This window comes from Homo sapiens, chromosome 8, assembly GCF_000001405.40.
Source record: "Homo sapiens chromosome 8, GRCh38.p14 Primary Assembly".
NCBI lineage: Eukaryota > Metazoa > Chordata > Mammalia > Primates > Hominidae > Homo > Homo sapiens.
Window position 1 is genome coordinate 54379344 of NC_000008.11, and position 23220 is coordinate 54402563.

A 23220-nucleotide genomic window follows, 5' to 3' on the forward strand; every position below is an offset into this window, starting at 1 on the left:
AGGCCTGAGAGCTGGGGAAGAGGAAGGCCCATCTGGTCCGCTCCCACTCCACATGCCAGACCTGCCCGGGAGCACGTCGGGGGACAGGTTTCCTCGGATCCCACGTCCATTGTTCTGCTGTTATGACATGGCCTCACCGTCTATCATAGATGGAAATGAAATTGGTTTGGAATGGTTTCCTCTTCCCACAGTTTTCTTGGTTGTGTATCGATAGATGACTTTTAAATATGATATCCTTACAGATAGGAAAATTAAGCTAATCTCTCTGTTCAATGTCCAGAACTGTCCTTTTTTTCAAGTTTAGCATGAGAGATGATGTGTTAGCCTTTGTCAGTTCTCTAAGACTTCCTTATCATGCCTTAGTTTTTAAAAAAGTTCTTAATTTCCCTGGGTCACCGGAGAGCATCAGTGGGAGTTCCATTGTGTCAGCATTCTCCACGCTGTTGGAGCACGGCTTCCCTTCGACTGGGTTGCAGGCCTGGGCTCACAGATTCCAGCTCACCGTGGCCACAAAGCTGGGAGAGGAGGAAAGAGGCCTTGCCTTGGCTGGAGCATGTGCTATTCTCTTCCTAGAGCTGTTGTTTTCCTTGATCATCTGTAACTAAGATCTTTTCCCAGCTGCTGCCTGCATCTCCAAGAAGATCCATCTGGTTTTTTTTGTGGTTTGCTTTTTTTTTTTTTTTGAAACAGAGTCTTGCTCTGTTGCCCAGGCTAGAGTTCAGTGGCATGATCTTGGTTCACTGCAACCTCTGCCTCCCATGTTCAAGCAATTCTCCTGCCTTAGCCTCCCAAGTAGCTGGGATCACAGGTGTGTGCCACCACGCCCAGATTTTTTTTTTTTTTTTTTTTTTAGTAGAGACAGGGCTTCAGGGCTTCACCATATTGGCCAGGCTGGTCTCTAACTCCTGATCTCAGGTGATCCGCTTGCCTCAGCCTCCCAGAGTGCTGGGATTACAGGTGTGAGCCACCGTGCCTGGCCATGGTTTGCTTTTTTGATTCTGACTTGGAAACCACATACTCTCTCTCTCTCTCTCTCTTTTTTTTTTAAACTTAGCTGGAGCTCCATGGGTTTCTCAGGCCCTGGACAGAGGGGGTTGATTTTTGTTTTGCGTCTGTCACTGCCTTTCTCTGTCAGTATAATTTCTGTGACCTTAGAAATGTCTACTAAAAGTACATTTCTTGCAAACGTTGATCCCTAAGATTTTATTTTCCCTGGTGCTTTCTGCTCATATCTAAAGCATGTTGGAATGTTTCTCTGAAGCTCATGCCAACTGTTGATTTTCCTTAATGTTGTGAATATTATGATTATTTTATCTATTTATAGAGGAATTTTTAGAAATGTTTTCTTATGGTAACATGCATTATCTCATTTCATCTCTAGTTACCAGTGAGGGAGATACTCTCACCATCGTCTGTTTCATAGATGAGGACACTGCCAAGGATTTGCGTGCATCACACAGCTCACGGCTGTCAGAGCTGGAAGTGGAGTGCGTTTCCACCTTGAGAAGCACACCAACACCTTTTTGTTTTCTTCTGTCTTTAAACGTAACTCCTTTCCATGTGTAAAAATTAAATCAGGCTGGGTGCGGTGGCTCACGCCTGTAATCCCAGCTCTTTGGGAGGCTGAGGCGGGTAGATCATAAGGTCAAGAGATCGAGACCATCCTGGCTAACATGGTGAAACCCTGTCTCCACTAAAAATACAAAAATTAGCTGAGTGTGGTGGTGCGCGCCTGTAGTCCCAGCTACTCAGGAGGCGGAGACTGCAGTGAGCTGAGATTGCACCATTGTACTCCAGCATGGGCAACAAAAGCGAAACTCCCTCTCAAAAAAAAAAAAAAAAAAAAAATTAAATCAGGGAACCAAACTGCCTGAATTATTTCATTTTCTTTACTAAGAAATTTAGAAAACTCTCCATCTGAAATACTTCCTTTTAAAATTTATTTTATTTTCATAATACATTTTCCAATACAAGAATAGGGAATTCCCTGTGTTAGCAGGTGGCAGACTCCGGACCCTGGGACCCATATCCCAGCTTAAAGGGCCATTCCTTCTTGCCCTGAAGCACCATTGCACAGGGAGTAACTGGCACCCGGTGTTAACATTGGAAACATTTGGATGGAAACAGATTTTTACACTGGTTATCATCTGATGAGGGTTTTAAGGGGAAAGTGTCAACATAAATTTGGAATTTCCTGACTTCTGCGGATCTGAGTTACAATCCTGACAAAACTAGAAAGGAAATCTTTAAAAAATTTTTAGTGTTTTATTGTGTGGAAATGTCCCCAAACATTTTCATCCCATTTTCCCAGAGAAACCTGACAGCTCTTGCGGGGCGGGGGGGGGGTGGGGAGGGGGTGGCGGACGAGGGGGGATGGAGAAGAACAAAACCCAGTGGCCACATCCTTGAACTCTTTTGTGTGTTTAGAACAATGTCCAGTTAAAATCAAACAATATTGCTGCTAAATGCGTCTAAAATAGTCCTTGGTAAGTACTCTTGCTCTTGCCCGGTGGAAGGGCTCCGTGAGAGGACAGCTTGGAGAGTGATGAGAGCCGGGCCCAGCGCTGACCGCAGAGGCAGCAGGGCACAGGGAGATATTGTATCTTTCCAATAACCCTGTCATCAGCTCCTGCGTTGCTGGGACTTTAAATCTCAATCTGAGCGCAGCGTGCATACAGCCGCTGCATCCCAGTGGAAAACAAAAGCCGGGCTAAGGCTGGGGGTGGGGGAAGCTCATAAAGGAGAAGTCATGAAGTCTGGCTTTCTGGCCAGATTTCCTCTGGAAGGTGAGGTGTGGCCGGCACTGTGTGTGTGGACCGCCTGGGAGGGGACACACACCCTGCCTTCAGACGGCAGGACCTCAGCCTGGCCCGCAGCCAAGGAGCCAGACGCCAGGCCCCGGGCTCTCAGCAGTGGGAGCGGTCTCTGGGCTGGGTATACAATGGTATTATCTCAAGCCAACCTCGGCTGCAGAAACTCGCAATGCTTCCTGTCCTTGCATTGCAGCACAAACTGTCCGATTTCCAACTGCTTTCGGACACACTCACCCACACTCGGCCGCCAGGCTTGCTGTATAAATGTCTAAAGCCATTTCTTCCTTGAGAATTGCAGACGCTGCAATGCCGTAATCCATTGTATTTTTATCCTCTCTGGAAGGACCTGCACCGATCATGAGTCACATGGGGAAAGGGATTAACTCCCAAAACAGTTTATGTAATGTAGGCAAATGCCTGAAGCTTCTTATAATGGGGGAAAGCAGAAAGGTCTTCAAACTCATTAACATTATATACAATTTATTCATGTTGGTCCATCGTCTTATTCTCTTTCCCACTTTGAATCCCTGGGAAAGCAAGAAGATGCAATAGAAGAGCAAAATCTGGGTGAACGTGATGGAGAAAGCCTGCTTTTAATTTCTAGTGATTACTTTTAATATATTTTGAATGAATTTTGTTTAAACTGCTATGGTACTCTCAAACACGGCCATTGGATTAAATTATTTCAAAAAATTAAAAGCCTACTAAACCCTGGTACTAAAAATGTGTTAAAAAGGACAAGACAGATGAAGGAGAAGGTTCTTTTTTTTCTTTTTTTTTTAATTGTGTTTGATGTTCTTGGCTTTGGAATATTTCAGTTAGGTTATTAAGCATCTGATTTAACCTTTCAAATTACATGCCTATTTCAGAAAGTTGAACACTCTCAGCAACCTGCTCCCAGAAGTCAGAGGTTTAATCCAACAGTTACCAGAAATGCTCTTAAACTTTCTGCTTCCAGGTCAGGAAGTTTTTGGCAGGCCGCTGTTCCCAGGGACGTGGACTTTGATGCAGTGTGGACTCCTTAAGGAGGCTTAGAACAGGCTGGCCTCAGGCGGGCAGCCAGGGCTCACAGGGCCAAAATCCTCTGCTTTGTGCTTCGTGGGAATTCCTGTGATTACAGTACAAACCCAGTTTTCAGTAAAATGGGATGACAACTGCTCCAAATAAGGTGGCCCTTGGTTTATCCCGAATGTGCTTAAGTAGATCTACTCCCTCCTAATAAAGCCTGAAGATTCTTTCAGCTACTTGCCCCTGTGAAAATGGGCAGGCTTTTTTGGACTGGATTCAGCAGTGTGCTGGCAAATGTTTAACCACCAGCTCTCCGCAACAAGCAGCCCTGATGGGGGCATTTGCTATGGCCTTCAAGAGATTGGGGCCTTGAAATATACAACTTTTTAAAACTAGAAAGTATTTTAAACATACAGAGAAATATAGAGGATAATAGAATAAATGTTTATGTACCCACAAACTCTTATTTAATCTGAACACTTCGTGGTATTGACTTTTCTTCTGAAGAAATGGTTGAAGCCTCCTGGGTCCTCTCTCTGGGCTCCTCCCTCCCTGCACAGAGGCAATGGCTGTCCGAACTTTGTCTTTCCCCTGCCTGCAGGACAGATGTTCTTCAAGCTCCCAGACCTGTCTAAAGGCCAGAGTGACAGCACAAAATTTTCAGTTTTCAAATACCACCCTTGCCTGCATTTTCCAAACATGTGTTTATACATGCAATAGGTAATATTGTTTTGCATGCTTTAAAATTTGAATATAAATCATAATGTATATACTTTTTTGATAAATTTAATGAGATATTATTTACACACCATACAATTCATCTATTCAAAGTGTACAATGGTTTCTAATATATTTAGAAAGTTGCAAAACCATCATCACAATCAATTGTAGAACCTTTTCATCACCACCGCTCATGCCAAGCCAAAAAAACCTTCTGGTGCCAATGAACACTCCCTCATCTTCCCCTGACCCTGCCCCACTCCCAGACCTAGACAACCAATAATGGATCTTCTGTCTCTAGAGGGTTGCCTAGTCTGGTAATTTCACATAAATGGAATCATATAATATGTGACGTTTTGCATCTGGCTTTCTTCACTTAGCACAGTATTTATCATTCATGCATGTTATAGCATGTATTTATATTTCTTCATTTTTATTGCCAAATAATATTCCATAGTATGAAGGTATCACATTTTATTTATTTATTCATCCATTAATGGCTATTTGGGTTGTTTCCACTTTTTGGCTATTATGAATAATGCTATTAATATTTCTGTACAAGTTTTTGTGTGAACACGTGCTTCAATTCTTTGGGGCATATACCTAGGAGAGGAATTGCTGGGTCATATAGGAACTCTATGTTTAACCTTTTGAGGAGCTGCTAGAGTGTTTTCCAAAGCAGCTGCATCATTTTATATTCCCACTAGCAGTGTGTGAGGATTCTGGCTTGTCTATATCCTCACCAACACCTATTATTATCGACTCTAGCCATCCTAGTGGGTGTGAAGGGGTATCTCATGATGACTTTGATTTGCATTTCCATAATGACTAATAGTACTGAGTATCTCTTCACGTGCTTGTTGGCTAGCTGTATATCTTTCTTGGAGAAATGTCTGTTCAGATCCTTTGTCCATTTTTTAAATAGAATTACTTGTCTTTTTATTTATATATATTTTTTGATACGGAGTTTTGCTCTTTTTGCCCAGACTGGAGTGCAATGGCATGATCTCAGCTCACTGCAACCTCCACCTCCCAGGTTCAAGCAATTTTCCTCCCTTACCCTCCCAAGTAGCTGGGATTACAGGCATGCACCACCACGCCCAGCTAATTTTGTATTTTTAGTAGAGATGGGGTCTCTCTATGTTGGTCAGGCTGGTCTGGAGCTCCCAACCTCAGGTGATCTGCCCACCTCAGCCTCCCAAAGTGCTGGGATTACAGGTGTGAGCCACCACGCCAGGCCTATTATCTTTTTATTTTTGAGGTACAAGAATTCTTAATGTATTCTAGATATATGTCACTTATCAGATATATGATTTGTAAATATTTTCTCTCATTCTGTGGGCTATATTTTCAATTTTTTGATAGTGCTCTTTGCTTTATATAAGCTTCTAAGGTTACTCTTAAATTAATACATTTTTAGCATTATCCAAGTAGAAACATGGAACATGAATACATCAATTTGAACCATTTTCAACCTCTGCATAGTACTTAATACTATGACTATTTAGAATTAATTTATTGATTCATTATTCTGTCAGTGGAAACTTGGGCTTGTGCCAGTATTTGGCTGTGGCAAACAATGCCACCATGAGCATTCTTATCCATGTCTCTTGGGGCACATTTCCAAGTGTCTGTTGGGCAAATACAAGGCATACCTTAGAGATAGTGTGGGTTTGGTTCGAGACCACTGCAATAAAGCCAATAGTACAATAAAGAGAGTCACATAAATTTTTGGATTACCTTGTGCATATAAAAGTCGTATTTACACCATACTGTAGTTTATTAAGTGTGTAATAACATTAGGTCTAAAAAAAAATGTATAGACCTTAACTTCAAAATACTTCTTTTTTTTTTTTTGAGACAGGGTCACCTAGTGACAGACAGACTCTGTCACCTAGGCTGGAGTGCAGTGGTGCGATTTGGGATCATTGCAACCTCTGTCTTTCGGCTTCAAGTGATTCTTCTGCCTCAGCCTCCTGAGTACTGGGATTATAGGCATGCACCACCATGCTTGGCTAGTTTTTGTGTTTAGAAGAGATGGGTTTTTGCCATGTTGGCCAGGCTGGTTTCAAACTCCTGGCTTCAAGTGATCCACCAGCCTTGGCCCTCCAAAGTGCTGGGATTACAGGTGTGTGCCGTGGCGCCTGGCCTAAAATACTTTATTTCTAAAAAATGTTAACAATCATCTGAGCCTTCAACAAGTCTTAATCTTTTTGCTGGTGGAAGGTCTTGCCTTGAGGTTGATGGCTGCTGACTGATCAGAATGGTGGTTGCTGAAGGTTGAGGTGGCTGTGGCAATTTCTTAAAATAAGACAATAATGAAATTTGCCGCATCGACTGACTCTTCCTTTCATGAGAGATTTCTCTGAAACATGCAATACTGTTTGGTAGCATTTTACCAATAGTAGAACTTCTTTCAAAATTGGAGTCAATCCGCCAAACCCTGCCACTGCTTTCTCAACTAGGTTTATGTAATATTGTAAATACTTTGTTGTCATTTTAATAATGCTCATAGCATCTTCATCAGGAGCAGATTCCATCTCAAGAAACCACTTTCTTTGGTCATCCATAAGAAGCAACTCCTCATCCATTAAAATTTTATCATGAGATTGCAGCAGTTCAATCACATCTTCAGGATTCACTTTAAATTTCAGTTCTCTTGCAATTTCTACCATCAGCAGTTATTTCCTCCTCTGAAGTCTTGAAACCCTCAAAGTCATCCATGAGGGTTGTAGTAAAATTCTTTCAAACTCCGGTTAATGTTGATAGTTTGACCTTCTCCCATGAATCATAAATGTTTTAATGGCATCTAGAATGCTGAATCCTTTCCAGAAGGTTTTCAATTTACTTTGCCCAGATACATCAGAAGAATCACTACCTATGGCAGCTATAGATTTAGGAAATGTATTTCTTAAATAATAAGACTTGAAAGTTGAAATTACTCCTTGATCCATGGGCTACCGAATGGATATTGTGTTGGCAGGCAGGAAAATAACATTAATCTCCTTGTACATCTCCATCAGAGCTCTTGGGTGACCAGGTGCATTGTCAATGAACAGTAATATTTTGAAGGAAGTATTTTCTTCCGAGAAGTAGGTCTCAGCAGTAGGCTTGCAATATTCAGTATGCCATGCTGTAAACAGCTGTGCTGTCATCCAGGCTTTGTTGTTCCACCTATGAAGCACAGGCAGAGAAGATTTAGCGGACCCTAGGATTTTGGAATGTAAAATGAGCATTGGCTTCAACTTGAAGTCACCAGCTGCCTTAACCCTTAATGAGAGCCAGCCTGTCCTTTGAAGTCAGGCATTGATGTCTCCTGTCTAGCTATGAAAATCCTAGATGGCATCTTCTTCCAATAAAAGGCTTTTTTGTCTACACTGAAAATCTGTTGTTTGGTGTAGCTACCTTCATCAATGATCTTTCCTAGATCTTCTGGATAACCTGCTGCAGCTTCTCCATCAGTATGTGCTGCTTCACTTTGCACTTTTATGTTACAGAGATGGCTTCTGTTCTTAAATTTCATGAAGCAAACTCTGCTAGCTTTCAACTTTTCCTCTGCAGCTTCCTCATCTCTCTTAGTATTCAAGGAATTAAAGAGAGCTAGGGCTTTGCTCTTGAGATGAGGGTTTGGATTCAGGGAATGTTGTAGCTGGTTTGATCTTCTATCCAGGCCACTAAAATTTTCTTCATATGAGCAATAAGTCTGTTTCACTTTCTTATCATTCATGTGTTCACTGGAGTAGCATTTTTTTTTTTTTTTGAGATGGAGTCTCACTCTGTCGCTCAGGCTGGAGTGCAGTGGCGCGATTGTAGTAGCACTTTTTTTTTTTTTTTGAGACAGAGTCTCTCTCTGTTGCCCAGGCTGGAGTACAATGGTGCAATCTCGGCTCACCGCAACCTCCACCTCCCAGGTTCAAGCAATTCTCCTGCCTCAGCCTCCTGAGTAGCTGGGACTACAGGCACGCACCACCACGCCCAGCTAATTTTTGCATTTTTAGTAGAGATGGGGTTTCACCATGTTGGTCAGGCTGGTCTTGAACTCCTGACCTCGTGATCTGCCTGCCTCAGCCTCCCAAAGTGCTGGGATTACAGGCGTGAGCCACCGCACCGGGCCTGGAGTAACACTTTTAATTTCCTTCAATAACATTTCCTTTGCATTCACAACTTGGCTAACTGCGCAATGCAAGAAGACCGGCTTTTGGCATTTCTTGGCTTTTGACATGCCTTCCTCACTAAGATTCTTAATTTCTAGCTTTTGATTGCAGTGAGAGACATGCAACTCTTCCTTTCGCTTGAACATGTAGAAGTCATTGTAGGGTTATTAATAGGCCTAATTTCAATATCATTGTGTCTCAGGGAATGAGGACGCCCAAGGAAAGGGAAAGAGATAGGGGAATAGATGGTCTGTGGAGCAGTCAGAACACACACACATTTATTAATTAAGTTTGCTGTCTTATGTGGGTGTGGCTTGTGGTGCCTCAAAACAATGACAACAGTAAGGTCAAAGATTCCTGATCACAGATCACCATAACAGTGATAACACCATAAAAACAAAGAAAAAGTTTGAAATCTTGTGTGAATTACCAAAATGTGACACAGAGACACAGAGTGAGCATATGCTGTTGGACAAATGGTGCCAAAACCCTTGCTTGATGCAGGGTTGCCACAAACATTCAATATGTTACAAATGCAGCATCTGTGAAGCACAATAAAGCAAAGCATAGTAAAATGAGGTGTGCCTGTATCTAGAATACCTGGACTTAGAGAATGTAGGTCTTCAGGCTTATTTGATATGGTTACAGTTTTTCTTTTTTCTTTTTTTCCTTTTTGTACCAGCAGTGTATTGGAGATCTCAGTGTGGGACGTCTTTGCTAATACTTGGTATTGTTTGACATTTAAATTGTAGCTATTCAGATGGGCATGAATTGGTTCTGATTGCTGTTTTTAAGATGTGGCCTGACTGTCAAGCCTTCAGAGAACAGGTAAGCTGCTGGGCCTGTTTTGTTATTTGTAAAGCAGAGTCATGAAATTGTGGCCATAATATGCTCTTGTGTATTCAGAGTTCTGGAGACCCACATAGAAAGAGAACAATATGAAGAACTTTATGAGATACTTGTATGGTTCCTCTGTACAGTAGTAGTTGGCTGTATTACATCATTGATGATTTTTATTATACTAAGTATGGAAAATATTTTAAAATCTGTAATGTAAACTTTTCGCAACTGAATAGTATAAAGTTCTAGAAATTTATTAGTGTAAGCCATTTGCAAATTCTTTAGCCCCTGGAAGTCCTGTAAAAGCAGGATCATTCCCATTTCCATTCTTTGTCTCCACCCTTCATTTAGTCTTGCTGTTAATAATGCCAATTCCTTCAGCATTTTCTCATATAGTTCCACTCAACTCTTTAATCTTGTAAAAGTTATTGTTTTTTTTTTGATACTGCATACATAATGCATGCAAACTTTGCATAACTTTCAAAATTAACTCCTCTTCCAAGATGAAGATTAAATAACTGAGACCACTATGGTGTTTCTTGTTTGACATTTTTAGCAGAGTGGAATGTTACCAGATAGCCCGTTTCTAGATTTCTCATCAAAGTTATACTTAAATCAATATGTTAGTATTTAGGTAAGAAAGAAACTTTTCATGGTAAATGAAGGTTTTTCTCTCAGACTAGAGTCTCATTTGGAAGAAGACTAAGGAGAAGCTTCAATTTGAATTGTGAATAGACCATGTTGTGCATTGTGAAATATGACTAGAACATGTTTTTCAGTGGAGTTTCTCACATGGGTGTTGATCTGTTGCTTTTAATATTTGTAGGTAGATCCTGCAGAGTAAAACAAGCAAACAATAATCTACTAATAAGTGAGAAGCTTTCTTTTTTTTTTTCTTGAGACAGAGTCTCACTCTGTCACCCGGGCTGGAGTGCAGTGGCATGATCTCGGCTCACTGCAACCTCCCACTTCTGGGTTCAAGCAATTCTCCTGCCTCAGCCTCCCGAGTGGTTGGGATTACAGGCGCCCACCACCAAGCCCAGCTAATTTTTGTATTTTTAGTACAGACGGGGTTTCATCATGTTGTCCAGGCTGGTCTCGAACTCCTGACCTCCAGTAGTCCACCCGCCCTGGCCTCCCAAAGTTCTGGTATCACAGGCGTGAGCCACCATGCCTGGCTAAAGTGAGGAGATTTCTACACGGAGAGCTTTATAAATGTTGTGTCACTTAATTTACACAATGTGTTTTTTTCTAAAGGTATTTTAACAAAATGGTTCTCTTACGGAACGTTTATGTGCCACTGTGTTCAGTTTGCACATACATTCATTATATCATTTTCTGCTGACCAGGGTGTCACTAGACACTACCTCACTCATCCTGGCTTTAGCTATTTTCCAGAATCTTCCACAGATGGTGATATTAATTTAGGCTCTGAAAATAAACTAAATATTATAGTCTTTGGATATTTCCCTCCAGTAAGTTTTCAAAAGCCAAGAAAGTTCAAGAGTTTGATTAAAAATAGTTGGCCTTCTTGGCTATCAATTGAAGCATTCTCCTTCAGAGGGAAAGGTAAAGTCAGGAAATCCTGAGATGTTCTGTCTAAATCCTACTTTACTGAAGTGATAAAAGATTAAAGGTCAGCTTCAAAGTTATTTTTATTGAAAACTGGGCAGACTTCAGTTTGCACCAGATTTTCTTGGCCCGACTCTTTCTTTTTCTTTTTCTTTTTTTTTGTGAGACAGAGTCTTGCTCTGTCGCCCAGGCTAGAGTGCAGTGGCGTGATCTCGGCTCATTGCAGCCTGTGCCTCCCAGGTTCCAGTGATTCTCCTGACTCAGACTCCTGGGTAGCTGGGATTATAGGCACATGCCACCATGCCCAGCTAATTTTTGTATTTTTAGTACAGACGGAGTTTCACTATGTTGGCCAGGCTGGTCTTGAACTCCTGACCTTAGGTGATCCACCTGCCTCAGCCTCCCAAAGTGCTGGAATTACAGACATGAGCCATTCTGGGTGAAGCTTGGGACTATCTCTGCAGCTGGTGGGACCTTGCCTATGGAAGTGCCTCAAACGAAGGGATGTCGGGTGCAGAGAGGAGAGGTTCTGACCCTGTTCCCAAGCCCGTGATCATCCAGTGGTAGCACAGGCTTTGTATCAACATGACTGTGGATGTGGTGTTGGCCAGACGTGGAAACAACACCCTGCATGGGAGCAGATTTGAGTTGATGAAGAATGAAAATGTCCCACTTCACAGGCACTGCAGGTGTCTGACTTCTCTGCTGGTGGCATCTGCCTCTTATGTGGTTATGAAATTAAGGAGAAACCTGGATTAGGTCTGCTCAGCAGTTTAGCTTTGCCACATATTAGCTGCATGTCATTTAACTTCTCTGTGCGTCAGTACCCTCATCTGTAAATTGGGGATACTAATAGAACGGTCCCATAGAGCTACTGGGAGGATTAAATGAGATTAAACATATAAAGTGCAGGAATAGTGCCTGGAAAAGGGAAGATGCTCAGTAAATGTTAGATAGGATGATTACTGTACTATTAGTAATATGTCCAATAAAGTCAGGGGAAAATAAGTTAATCCTTAATGAAGCCAAAGAGTTGTCTGAATAAACCTTTAGCAGTTTTAGAGATCAATCATGTGCATTCAGTCATGTGCATTCAATTAGAATCAATGTAGGTCTTCTCAATGCATATACAAATTGAACTTAAAGGAGAAGTTGGCCAGGCACAGTGACTCACACCTGTAATCCCAGCACTTTGGGAGGCCGAGGCGGGAGGATCACTTGAGGCCAGGAGTTCAAGACCAGCCTGGCCAACATGGCAAAACCCCATATCTACTAAAAATGCAAAAAAAAAAAAAAAATTAGCCAGATGTGGTGGCGCATGCCTGTAGACCCAGCTACTCAGAAGGCTGAGGCAGGAGAATCGCTTGAATCCGGGAGGGGGAGGTTGCAGTCAGCAGAGATTGTGCCACTGCACTCCAGCCTGGGCCACAGAGCCAGACTCTGTCCAGGTCTAACCCTGGGGTTTTCTCATGAAGAGCAGAGTGTAGGAAGCCTGGTGAGACCTGAGTCTTATCCCTAGAGAGAACACCTGTCAGCCGAGACCATTTGGGAAGCAGGAAAAATAAAGAGAAGCACAAACAGCCACAGACTAATTTCAGGAAATAGTAGTAAGGGAGAGTCGCTGAGCTTGTCAAACCTTGGTTTGAGTTTGGAGGTGAGATGAAAAAGCAGGAACGACCCCTCAGTCCTTCATAAGAGAGACACCATACTCCAAAAGTTTCCAGAGTGTGATGTTTAAAACTGGGATTTGGTTAGTTTTTTTTTTTTTTAACTTTTAATGTAGAAAATTGTACAAGTCACAAATACGCAGGTTAATTTTTTTAATTGTGATAAATTATACATAACACAAAATTTATTATTTTAATCATTTTGGGGGCACAGTTCAGTGGTATCAAGTACATTCACATTGCTGTGCAAACACCACCATTCATCTCAAAACGTTTTCATCTTCCCAGGCTGAAGCTTCATTCTCATTAAACACAGATCCCCCACTCCCCTGTCCCCTGGCCCAGGCCCTGGCAATCCCCATTGTACCTTCTGTCTCTACGGATTCGACTACTCTGGGTACCTCATGTAATAGAATCATACAGATTTGGTCCTGCTGTGATGAACTCATTTCACTTAGTGTAATGCCCTCAAGGTACAGCTTGGTGAATTTTATAAACTTGAACCACCTATGTAACCAGTGCTCTGACAGAGAAACACGGCATTGCTAGCCACACAGACCTCCCTGTGCCCACCTCTGGTGAGTCCCCTCTACCCTTGCAGGACCCCGAGGGCAACCTTGTCCTTTGTCTATGCAGAGAAGGAGGCAGAAGGGGGAAGACTAAGGTTTCTGCCTCTTACCTCCCCAGTAGGGAAGCTGCACATTTTATCTGTTTCACACATTAGGCTTTAGTGTCTCTGCCAAAGAAAATTTGGAAACTTTGACTTGGGCAATGTTTATATTTCACTCCCAGATTGTACAGATAAATGCCTTGTTTTATTTAGTCTGCCTTTGTTCAACTAACTCCCATTTTTGCAACTCTGTTTAGGCAGCCTCTTCTGGGGGAAGCCTTCAACCCTGTGCATCCCACAATCTGGAGACACTGTTGGCTGACTGTGACTTACCACCAGACAAATGCCCACCAGAGGACAGTCTCCTTGGCATCTGTGTAACCTCAAAGCCCAGCACGGTGTCCAACACTCAGTGGTTTCTACAATGCATGTTTAACTGAGCAGAGCTGAACTAGTGCTCCCAGGGAACTGACTGATGGAAGTCTGTCTTAAAAGCTGAGCTCTATAATTTTGCAGCTGTTTGCCCTTGGAGACGTCATTTAACTTCTCTGTCTGGGACTCTGGCAATATAAGGAAAGTGCCATAATATTAATCTGAACAAGTGCCCAGGCAACTCTTAAGTTTAACAGCAGTATCATATCGCCATTTAGTGTGCACACTTCATTCTCTTATATACCTGAGAGAGATTATTTTAAAATCTCTCATGTTAATCAAACCACATTTCCTGATCTAGATAAAAAAGGTTTCAGAGTTTAATTACACAAAAAGTAGGTAATGTTGCATGAAGATTTACAAAGAAGCCAAGATTTTTTTTTTCTTTTTAAAGTATGACTAGGTAATAATAGATATAAGCATATTTTTCTCATTCCTAATACATGTTTTATTTGGATGGTGTGCTGTGATATTTGAGGATTTGGGACACACTCTTTTAGTGTAGGTTGCAAGAAAACTGTGAAACACAGACGCCAACAGTAGGTGAAGTCAGAAGATCTTCTGTGTTAATTTCTGAAATGTCTAGCAGTGGGCCATTCTTTGACGGTAGCCTGATATCTGATAAAGATAACATTCTGCCACTGGCCATGTGAGGAGCAATTCCCAGCCAGGGGAAGGACTCCAAGTCCCCAAATCTTTCTTAAAATTTTAGATTGAGAATTGACAGAAAACATATAAACTCAGATAAATAGGCAAAGGTATTGAACAGACTATTCATAACTGTACTTATGACCACAATAAAAATAGAAGCAATATAAATTTGGGTAAAATAATTAGATATGTATTTGGGGCCTATGAAATCACAAACTACATCTAAAATTTAATTAGAATGATAGGTGATTTTTGTTTTCTTATTTGCATTTGTCACATTTTAAAAAATACTGCATAGGTATTACTTTTATAACCACCCAATAGTATTTGAGAATATGCTCTAAAACAAATGAGCCCAGTTCATTTTATTCATGTTCAGGAAGCTAAAGTCAGCCAGTGGAAACAGTGCAGTGAGGTGGCTGTGACTGGTTTTATTTGTACTTGCCACTTACTCTGCAGATACCATGGATTGGCAGGCATAGCTCTTATTTTATCAGATAGAAGAGAAATGGGAAATGACACAGAATTCCCACACATGGGAAGGGGGCATTTTTTAATTGAGCAGATACTATATCCTGTATGTTATGCTCAGTACTTTACACCTATATCTCATGCCATCCTTAAATGACACAGAGTGGGGCCTTCCAACTGGAAAGAATGCTGCAGTACGATGGCTGATAAGCAGAAAACAACATACAACAAAGCTTGGCATTAAAATTACTTTCAGAAGATATGGTAAAACTGCTTTTTTTGGGTCTTGGATTGTTAGTAGAGCCTCAAAGTTTAATAACCAAGACCCAGGTGCCTAATTTGCCCCACTGGGTCCTGTCACTGACTCACTGGATGACCTTAGTGAAATCGTTTTCCATCTGTGAGTGTGTTTCCTTGCTGTGAAGATGAAACTAAAAATAAATACTGCCTTCATCATGGGTTATGGTAAGGACTAGCTGAGTAATGTTTACTAAGAAATTGCAACTTTTTCAAGCAAAAGGGGGAGAACAAAATGCCTGTTTCATCATATAGGAAACCTGTTTGGGAGTTTTGTGACCCTAAAGTGATATAAATAAAATAGAGGACTTTTTTTCAACCTCCTTTGTTAGAGTATGAGACAAAACTGGCTGAATTCCGGTGTTCTTTGGTGCTGGCTAAGAACAGCTTGGTTGCCCATGAGCAGCGTGGTCAGAGGCTGGTTCCTGGTGGCAGGGTGCATTCTGGAGAAAGCAGTCTCCTCCAGCCTGAGCTGTGCTCCCCCACGGGACTGAGTCACTCAGGCCACCCAGTCTCTCTCTCCCAAAGCTTCCAAAGCTCACTCTCTTCCAGGTGCTAAGTCCACCATCAATTTTTCTTTGACTAGTCTAGTTTTGTAAGTGGCAGGTTTTCTGATTTTAAACAGAAAAATTCTGCCTCCCTTGCATTATTTTTTAAATATAATTTTATTCTTCTCTTTGATGTGAGTGTCCAGTTCTCATAGCTAAGAAGGTCCAGGAGTGCAACTCAGAAGTGTAGAAAGAAAATGGGCTTCAAAGGTAAGGTTTTCCCTACTTGGTTTCCAACTGTCTTATGATGGCCTTGGACACTAACCTCTTTGAGCTTCAGTCTCCAATGGGAAATATTAACCTTATAGGGTTGTTGTAAGGATCGGAGACCTTTTATTTATTTATGTTTCATGTCATACAAAACACACATTATGGGCACGGGCACCAAGTTCCTTACCTCATAATATGGTGGCAAAAAAAGATAAGCCCTGCCCTGATAGAACCCGTGTTGCAGGGGGAAGCTAAGTCCTAAGTATGAATCTACAATTCAGGTTCTAACAGGTGAACAGTCTATAGCACAGTGGGCCTCTCTGCGTTGGGTGCTGATGAGCTCTTCATTTACCCTCCAAACATAGAACAAAAGAACACATTGAGGGCTTACGTGGTCTCATGTTGCTCCCATTTTTCACTACTTGTTCAAACAACAGTGACAGAACACCTGGTTCCCATGGGCAGGGAGTTCTGCTGGGCACTAGGAACACTGAGATCAAAGGGACCCTGCGTTGTCCTGAAGGGGCTGACAGTCAGAGTAGGGGAGGCAGACACCTAAACGGGTGTTACACTTCAGAGCACTGAGCACCACAGGGCTCTTAGAGAATGCTCCAAGCTGGGACTAGGAACTGAGTCCTGAGGATCAAGGGACATTTGTGATGCAGGGTGGCAGTGATATGGTGGGGAAGAAGGTGGAGTTGGTGCTTCAGACAGAGAGGACAGAGGAAAAGGCTGTGGGGGGACACAGCATTTTTGGTTTCTGGCATGTCACAGAACAGTTCAATTCAGTGTGAGGAGCTTGGAGGGAGCAGGGGACAGGCAGTTAAGAGGTGAGAATAAAAACTGGAAGTGTGAAGGGGTTGGCCTGTGCGTGGTGCTGACCTTGGAAAAGGGAAGACAGGTGGAAGACTGGGAGTGAGAGGGGCTGGGGGCCTGGAGGAGGTGCCAGGACCAGAAACAGTCAGGGGTCAGTGTCCCAGGAAGGGTGGACAAGACTTAGTGAGTGGCTGGTGTGGGCATTGCGGGGAGAAGGAGACGCTGAGGACAGGACCAATGTCCCCTGCAGGGAGGATGTGGTGACATTAACTAGGGGAGGCTGACAGCGCCACCTTTGATGCCAAATCCCACCTCCAGCTCTTCCCTGTGGCTCTGGGAAAATTGCTTAATTATCTGTGTCTCAGACTCTTCACCTATAAATGAGGATGACAATAACAGAACCTCATAGATTGGGGCTTTATTGTGTAGATTAAGTAAAATGACCACATGTAGATATCAGAACAGTGTCTGGCACATCTGAAGTCCTCAGTAAGGACTGGTTGTTATTCTCGGGGAACACGGGGAGACAGAGAATCTTGGAGGAGAAAGATTAGGGTGGTCCAGTTCTGATTACATGACAAAAAGCTGCCTCAAGACTCTGAGGCCATTATGGCCATCTTTGTCAAAAGAAGGTGAACTGCCCCGTGGAGTGTTAGCTCGGAAGTCTCCAGCTGTGGAAACCCAGAGCAACTCTTGTGAGATTTCCTATCAACCAGAGGCAGGTGGAGCTGTGGACCCTACATTTATTTCAGGGCTGGGGCAAGAAAAATGTGAATGAAAGTGTTAAACCTAGTCCCTTGGGTTGTTTAGTCTGCAATGCTGGAGACCACACTGGCTCCTGGTGAGACTGTGAAATGGGTGTAGTTTGTTTTGGCCTGCCTCCCAACTTCTCTAATGTTTCTCTAAAGATCTATTCCTCCTAAATCTTCTTTTTAAAGACTTAATTTTTCTAGGGCAGTTTTAGGCTCACAGCAAAATTGAGCAGAAGGCACAGAGATTTCCCATGTTCCCCTGCCCATCACCCCTGCAGAGCCTTCCCCATCGTCAACACCCTGCACCTGAGTGGTCCATCAGCCACAGCCGAGGAAGCCACTCACCCGTTGTTATCACCCAGGCTCCATGCTGTACAGTACGGTTCACTATCTCTTCATGGCAACAATAAATAACACAGTTTTAGTTGATGATTTTTAAAGGCTATGCACCCTACTGGGAGCATAGGGTAACTACCCTTGCCTGACAACCAAGGCATTTCAAAACCAGCCTGCTCCATCTCCTGTCTCTCACCAAACAATAAAGCTCCCAATGCTGGAATGACTGAGGGTCTCACCAAGGCCTGCCTGGACACTCACCACTGTTTGTGAAACTTTGGAACTGCATTCTTTCTCTTCATCCTCACATTTGCTTTTATTCTTGACACATCCGACTCTGTGACCTCTTAGCTCCTTGACCCAGTGACCTTGCTTTCCAGTGGGCCATGGCTTCCCTTTCTCACGGTGCAGAATGTGAGTCTGAACCATGTTATCTCTTGCAGCTGCTCCACCTCCAGCATCACAGATTCAAACATCCTCCTCGCTGCCCGCAAACCCTGCCCTGCAGCTTCCTGCTCGAGTATTCCCTGTACAGCCTCCTTTACTTCTGGGTGACCTTCCCTGACCCCCACTTTTTCCCTATTCACGGCCTGCCACTGTTAACTTGTCTGACATCCATGCTGGATTCTGTCCCATCATGTCAACTGTGCCCTCTTTCTGTTGCACGTGCTGGCAAACTTGAAATCTGATGAACCCACTACCTTCACTACACTCACTGTCTGGTCTCTCTCAGGTAGCTGAGGACTGAGAAACACCCCAGCCAGGCAGGTTGGGGTCACTATAAATTCACAGTCACCAACCACACATGGTGCTCTGTTTGGCTGGCCATCTCATTATACCTGTCTGACTTGCTTACTGTCCTGCCCTCCGAAAAAGCTTTTCAAACACTATCTCCTTCTGCCTCAAATGTATCACCTCCCCCTCAATGACTTTGCTTCATATGTGACACAAAGAAATGTTAATACCAGCCAAGACCTTCCTCAACTTCCGGCCAGCAAATCTGGAACACAAGCTGCATCTGTCCTGGTTTGCCTCTTCTCTCTTCTCGTTACAGTAGAGTAGCCATTCCTCTTCTAAAAAACACTGATCTCCCATCCTGCTCTGGACATTAAAGTACTGAGAAGTGGTTTTGTGTTCCCAGCAATATGGGAGTCATTGGTGACCTTAATAAAAGCCACATTGAAGTGAAATGAGAAGGAATTAGAAGGTGAAGACAGAAACAAGACAGTTACAGACAACTCATTTAAGCAATTTCATTATGAAGGGAGGCCATTGCTACTATCTCCGAAACCTTAAGCTATCAGTTATTCCTTTTGCTCTTTCTTCCTCTCTGCCCATTCCCTTCAGCCCTTAAACAGACAAAGGTCTGAGCCCTCTAAACAGTAGCAGAAACTGCATACACAGGAAACAGAAACCCTGCTCCAGCCTTACATCCCTCACCTATTGGCCTATTCATTGCTGCCCTTCATAGTCAGATTTCTCAGTGGAGTTGTCTTGTAACTTTTTTTTTCATCTTCTAGTCCTTTCACATCTCATTTCAATATTATTTTCTTAAGGTCACCAATGACTTTGAGATGACCAGAACTGCCCCCACTCCCCCGCCGCCAAAAAAAAAACAAAAAACAAAAAACAAAACACTTTTCAGCCTCCTAAGGTGCTTTTCACAGGTGGTCCTTGATGGAAGAGTCTTGCAGGTTTGGGGAAGTGACTTCCCGAAGAAGGTTACATCATCAGTTCAACAAATCAATGGCACGTGCGCAGACTGCATACTCTGGAGGCACTGGGCCCTGTCCAGAGAATGCACAGCAGCGTGAGATCCAGCTCTGTTCTCTAGGCCCTGTGGACTGGCCTGTGGGGGGCAATGATGGTACGTGGTGGGTGCCACACGCAGCAGCAGCCACCAAGGAAGATGGGCCCCAGAGCACAAAGGAAGGAGTGGGGAGCCGCCTTCGCTGGAGTGGTTGGAAAAGGCTTTGCAGGAGAGGTGGTGCCCAGGCTGGAGTTTGAGAAGTGAAATGCAGGGGCTGAGAGGCTGGGGAAGTGCACTCCAGGCAGTGAAATCAACAGGTGCGACATGCAGGGAGACTCGTGTCACGTGGGACCGTGAAAGCCCAGGGTGGAAGTGAGGTGAGTGTGGGGCGCGGGGTACGGTGTGGAGATGGCATATGGAGCTGGATTCATGGTGAAATCTGACCAGGAATGCCTGGGTGCTCAAATCCTGGCCTCTGGTCTGTCTCTCCAATCCCAATGACATCAGAATCACTATATTTAGCCTAAGTATGGTCCTAGGTGCTAGCAGGTACAGAATAAATGAAAAATGGTTGAATGACTATTTTAGTTCATGAAATTCTACCACATTATTTGTGCTATTTAAGTTAAAAGTACTAGGAGTAGAGTTAGGCACAGAGTACAAGAGGCAGTGAAACATAATGGTTAGGGCATCATCTATGGGACTAGATACCTAAGTACTATAACCTTCCCGAAGAAGGTTACATCATCAGTTCAGCAAACCAACGGCACATGTGCAGACTGCATACTCTGCTCAGTAGACCAGATACTGGCTTCACCACTTACTGTGATTTTGGACAAGTTACTTAATCTCTTTGAGCCATCTATACACTGGGAATTCCGAGAGTGCCTAACTCATAAGGTTAAAAGAGTTTATAGGTATAAAGCACTTAACCCAATGCCTTGTAACAATTCATAATAATTGTTTGTAATTACCATTAATAATAAATCACAAACAGGTTGGGTATGGTGGCTCATGCCTGTAATCCCAGCAATTTGGGAGCCTGAGGTGGGAGAATTGCTTCAGCCTAGAAGTTTGAGACCAGCCTGAGTAACATTGCGAGACCTCATCTCTATCAACAATTAAAAAAGTAGCCAGGCATGGTGGCGCACACATGTAGTCCCAGCTACTTGGGAGGCTGAGGTGGGAGGATCACATGAGCCCAGGACTTCGAGGCTGCAGTGAGCTATGATCATGCCACTGAGCTCATGCCATGCCATGTCACCCAGCCTGGGTGACAGAGTGAGACCCTGTCTCTAAATAAATAAATAATAATACTATAAGCCACAAACATTTATTACTAAAATTTAAATTATGATTATTTATTGACCATTATGATTGAATCCTCCTAGAGCTCCAATTCTTAATGCCCTCTCTCCCACGCCAATTGCAATCTTTTCCTGATGTATCTTTTTTTCATTTGAGATTCAGATCACTCAGCAAGTGTATTTGTTAGCTGGTAGAACATAAGTTACATGATAAGTACCTGCAAGGAGAATTGGAACAATCATTCATTGACCTAAACATGATGCTATTCCAAAGCCGAGATAGCCCTTCTTCCTCATTTAAAGTGCAATTGGATTATTGATGTGTAAACCAGTATATCTGTCTGGAATTACGTTCTACAGGGCTAAAGAAATGATGATCTGACCTAGGTGTGCACTCTGGAAGATTCCCATGAAAATCTCTCCATGTTTTTTGTTTATTGGCACGTCAGCTTTTCAGAGGCACTGTTCAGCCAAAGGGCATGTGTTTTTATGTTCTGAAAAATTGTATTAACCAACAGTGTAAAACAACAGAAACCGGTTGCAAAGCTTTCACTTTTAAAGAGTTTCCAAGCACCCTGCCCTTTTCCTAAAGGACTCTTTTCCCTTTTATGGATGAGCACCAGGCTCCAAGACAGTGTAAATAGAGTTTCCTGTTCCAGGGAAGTGCTGGCTCCTGCAGGAGCCCAGGGGTCCTTTGGGAAAAGTTGATAGGAACTATGAGCTGTATGTGCCCTGAGGCTTAGGAGCCAGCTGAGCCAGGAGGGAGGGAAACACATTTAACAGCCCCTTTGTGCAGACTTCAGTCCCAGAAGCACTTCTGGGAAAATAAGTCCAGTGCCATACACACAGTCCTTGCAAAGAATGGCAGGGAAGCTGGCCGGGCTGGAGAGAGCCATTCCCAGATTAGAGGCCTAAATCTTTGACCTGGCCACTTTGAGGAACCCAGAGATGTCTGTAATTCCCACAATTCAGGGATCCTGTGCTTCAGATGAGTGAGGTTTCAAGAAGCAGAAGAAAACCGATTAGATGTTAACTTTGGCCCAATGGCAAATATTTTTCAGTGTGGTTAGTGTTTATGCACTGAGGACATGAAAATTAATATCTATTCTTCTCTCTTGGATTTTATCATCTTCCTGTGTTTTTAAATGATAATAATAAAAAGCATTATTTTTGTGGTTGAGTTGATGGGCCGTTCACTTTGATAATTTTCTTTTGACTTTTGTGTGCTTTAGAATCTCATCAGTGGTGGCAAGGAAACAAACCAGAAAAGTACAATGAATACTTTTGGACTTATTCATTATGATATTATGACAATTATATTATTTTGATGATAGTTAACATTTACTGAACACTTGCTATGTGCTCAGCAGTGAGTTAAGTCAATAGTCTCCATCCGTAAACAATCTTGCATGAACTTACAAATTGTCAGCTAAATTAATACAAAGTATGTAAACGTACAACCATGCTATTATGTTGTGTACATTTATAGAGCATAAACAAAAATAAAAACTAAAGGAGTGACATAAATAAACATAAATATCAGTTCTTATATTTTCTTCTTGCATAAGAGCAGATTGTCTACTACTGGAGTCTCGGCACCCCTGTTTGAAGACCACTCTGCAAATACTGTCCAAACTATTATTAATTCCTTGCCCAAGACCATGGGTTATCTTTGTGTGTCTACCCTGTAACCTTACTGACTTCTGTAGCTTTTCCATCAGCACTTCCAGGAAGCCACACTATCATATTAGTGTATTCCTATTTCTGCTGCTTCTTAATCTAAATATTAGATGCACGTATTTAAACAGTGTGTCCAAATTTTTTACAGACTTATCATCTAAGATCCTTAAAACAGTTTGAGTCAAATTTGTAGCTTTATCTTCTGATCAGACATAAGAATCTCAGAATGAGATTTCCTCCTCTGAAGCTTCTTTCTTAATCCAGAAATGAAGTCTAAGTATCAGTCTTGTTTTGGGTATGGGTAAGATTAAGCTCACAAACACAGATAAAATTAAGAAAATGGTTCCATTTAGAATAGCAGCAAAAGAAAAATAAAATATTTAGGAATAATAAAAGTGGTGCAAAACATGTACTCAACTACAAAACACTGTTGAAAGAATTTTTTTTTTTTTTTTGAGATGGAGTCTTGCTCTGTCACCCAGGCTGGAGTGCAGTGACGTAATCTTGGCTCACTGTAACCTCTATCTCCCAGGTTCAAGTGATTCTCCTGCCTCAGCCTCCCACGTAGCTGGGATTATAGATGTGC

General features: G+C 42.6%; 1 long non-coding RNA gene across 1 annotated transcript, besides 1 other annotated feature; it reads left to right on the forward strand.

Annotated features, from left to right (window-relative positions):
- The first annotated feature begins 2349 nt into the window (after positions 1–2349).
- LOC105375840 (uncharacterized) lies at positions 2350–15910 on the forward strand. Its single transcript, XR_001745913.2, has 3 exons — positions 2350–2486; positions 9448–9523; positions 13642–15910. It is a non-coding gene; the product is annotated as an uncharacterized LOC105375840 (long non-coding RNA).
- Positions 2766–3060: a silencer, noted in NCBI's record as "tiled region #8643; HepG2 Repressive non-DNase unmatched - State 20:ReprD, and K562 Repressive non-DNase unmatched - State 20:ReprD". NCBI's record gives its function as "represses a minimal TATA promoter and a strong SV40 promoter by Sharpr-MPRA in HepG2 and K562 cells {active_cell/tissue: HepG2 | K562}" and the evidence as "EXISTENCE:reporter gene assay evidence [ECO:0000049][PMID:27701403]".
- Positions 15911–23220: the final 7310 nt, after the last annotated feature.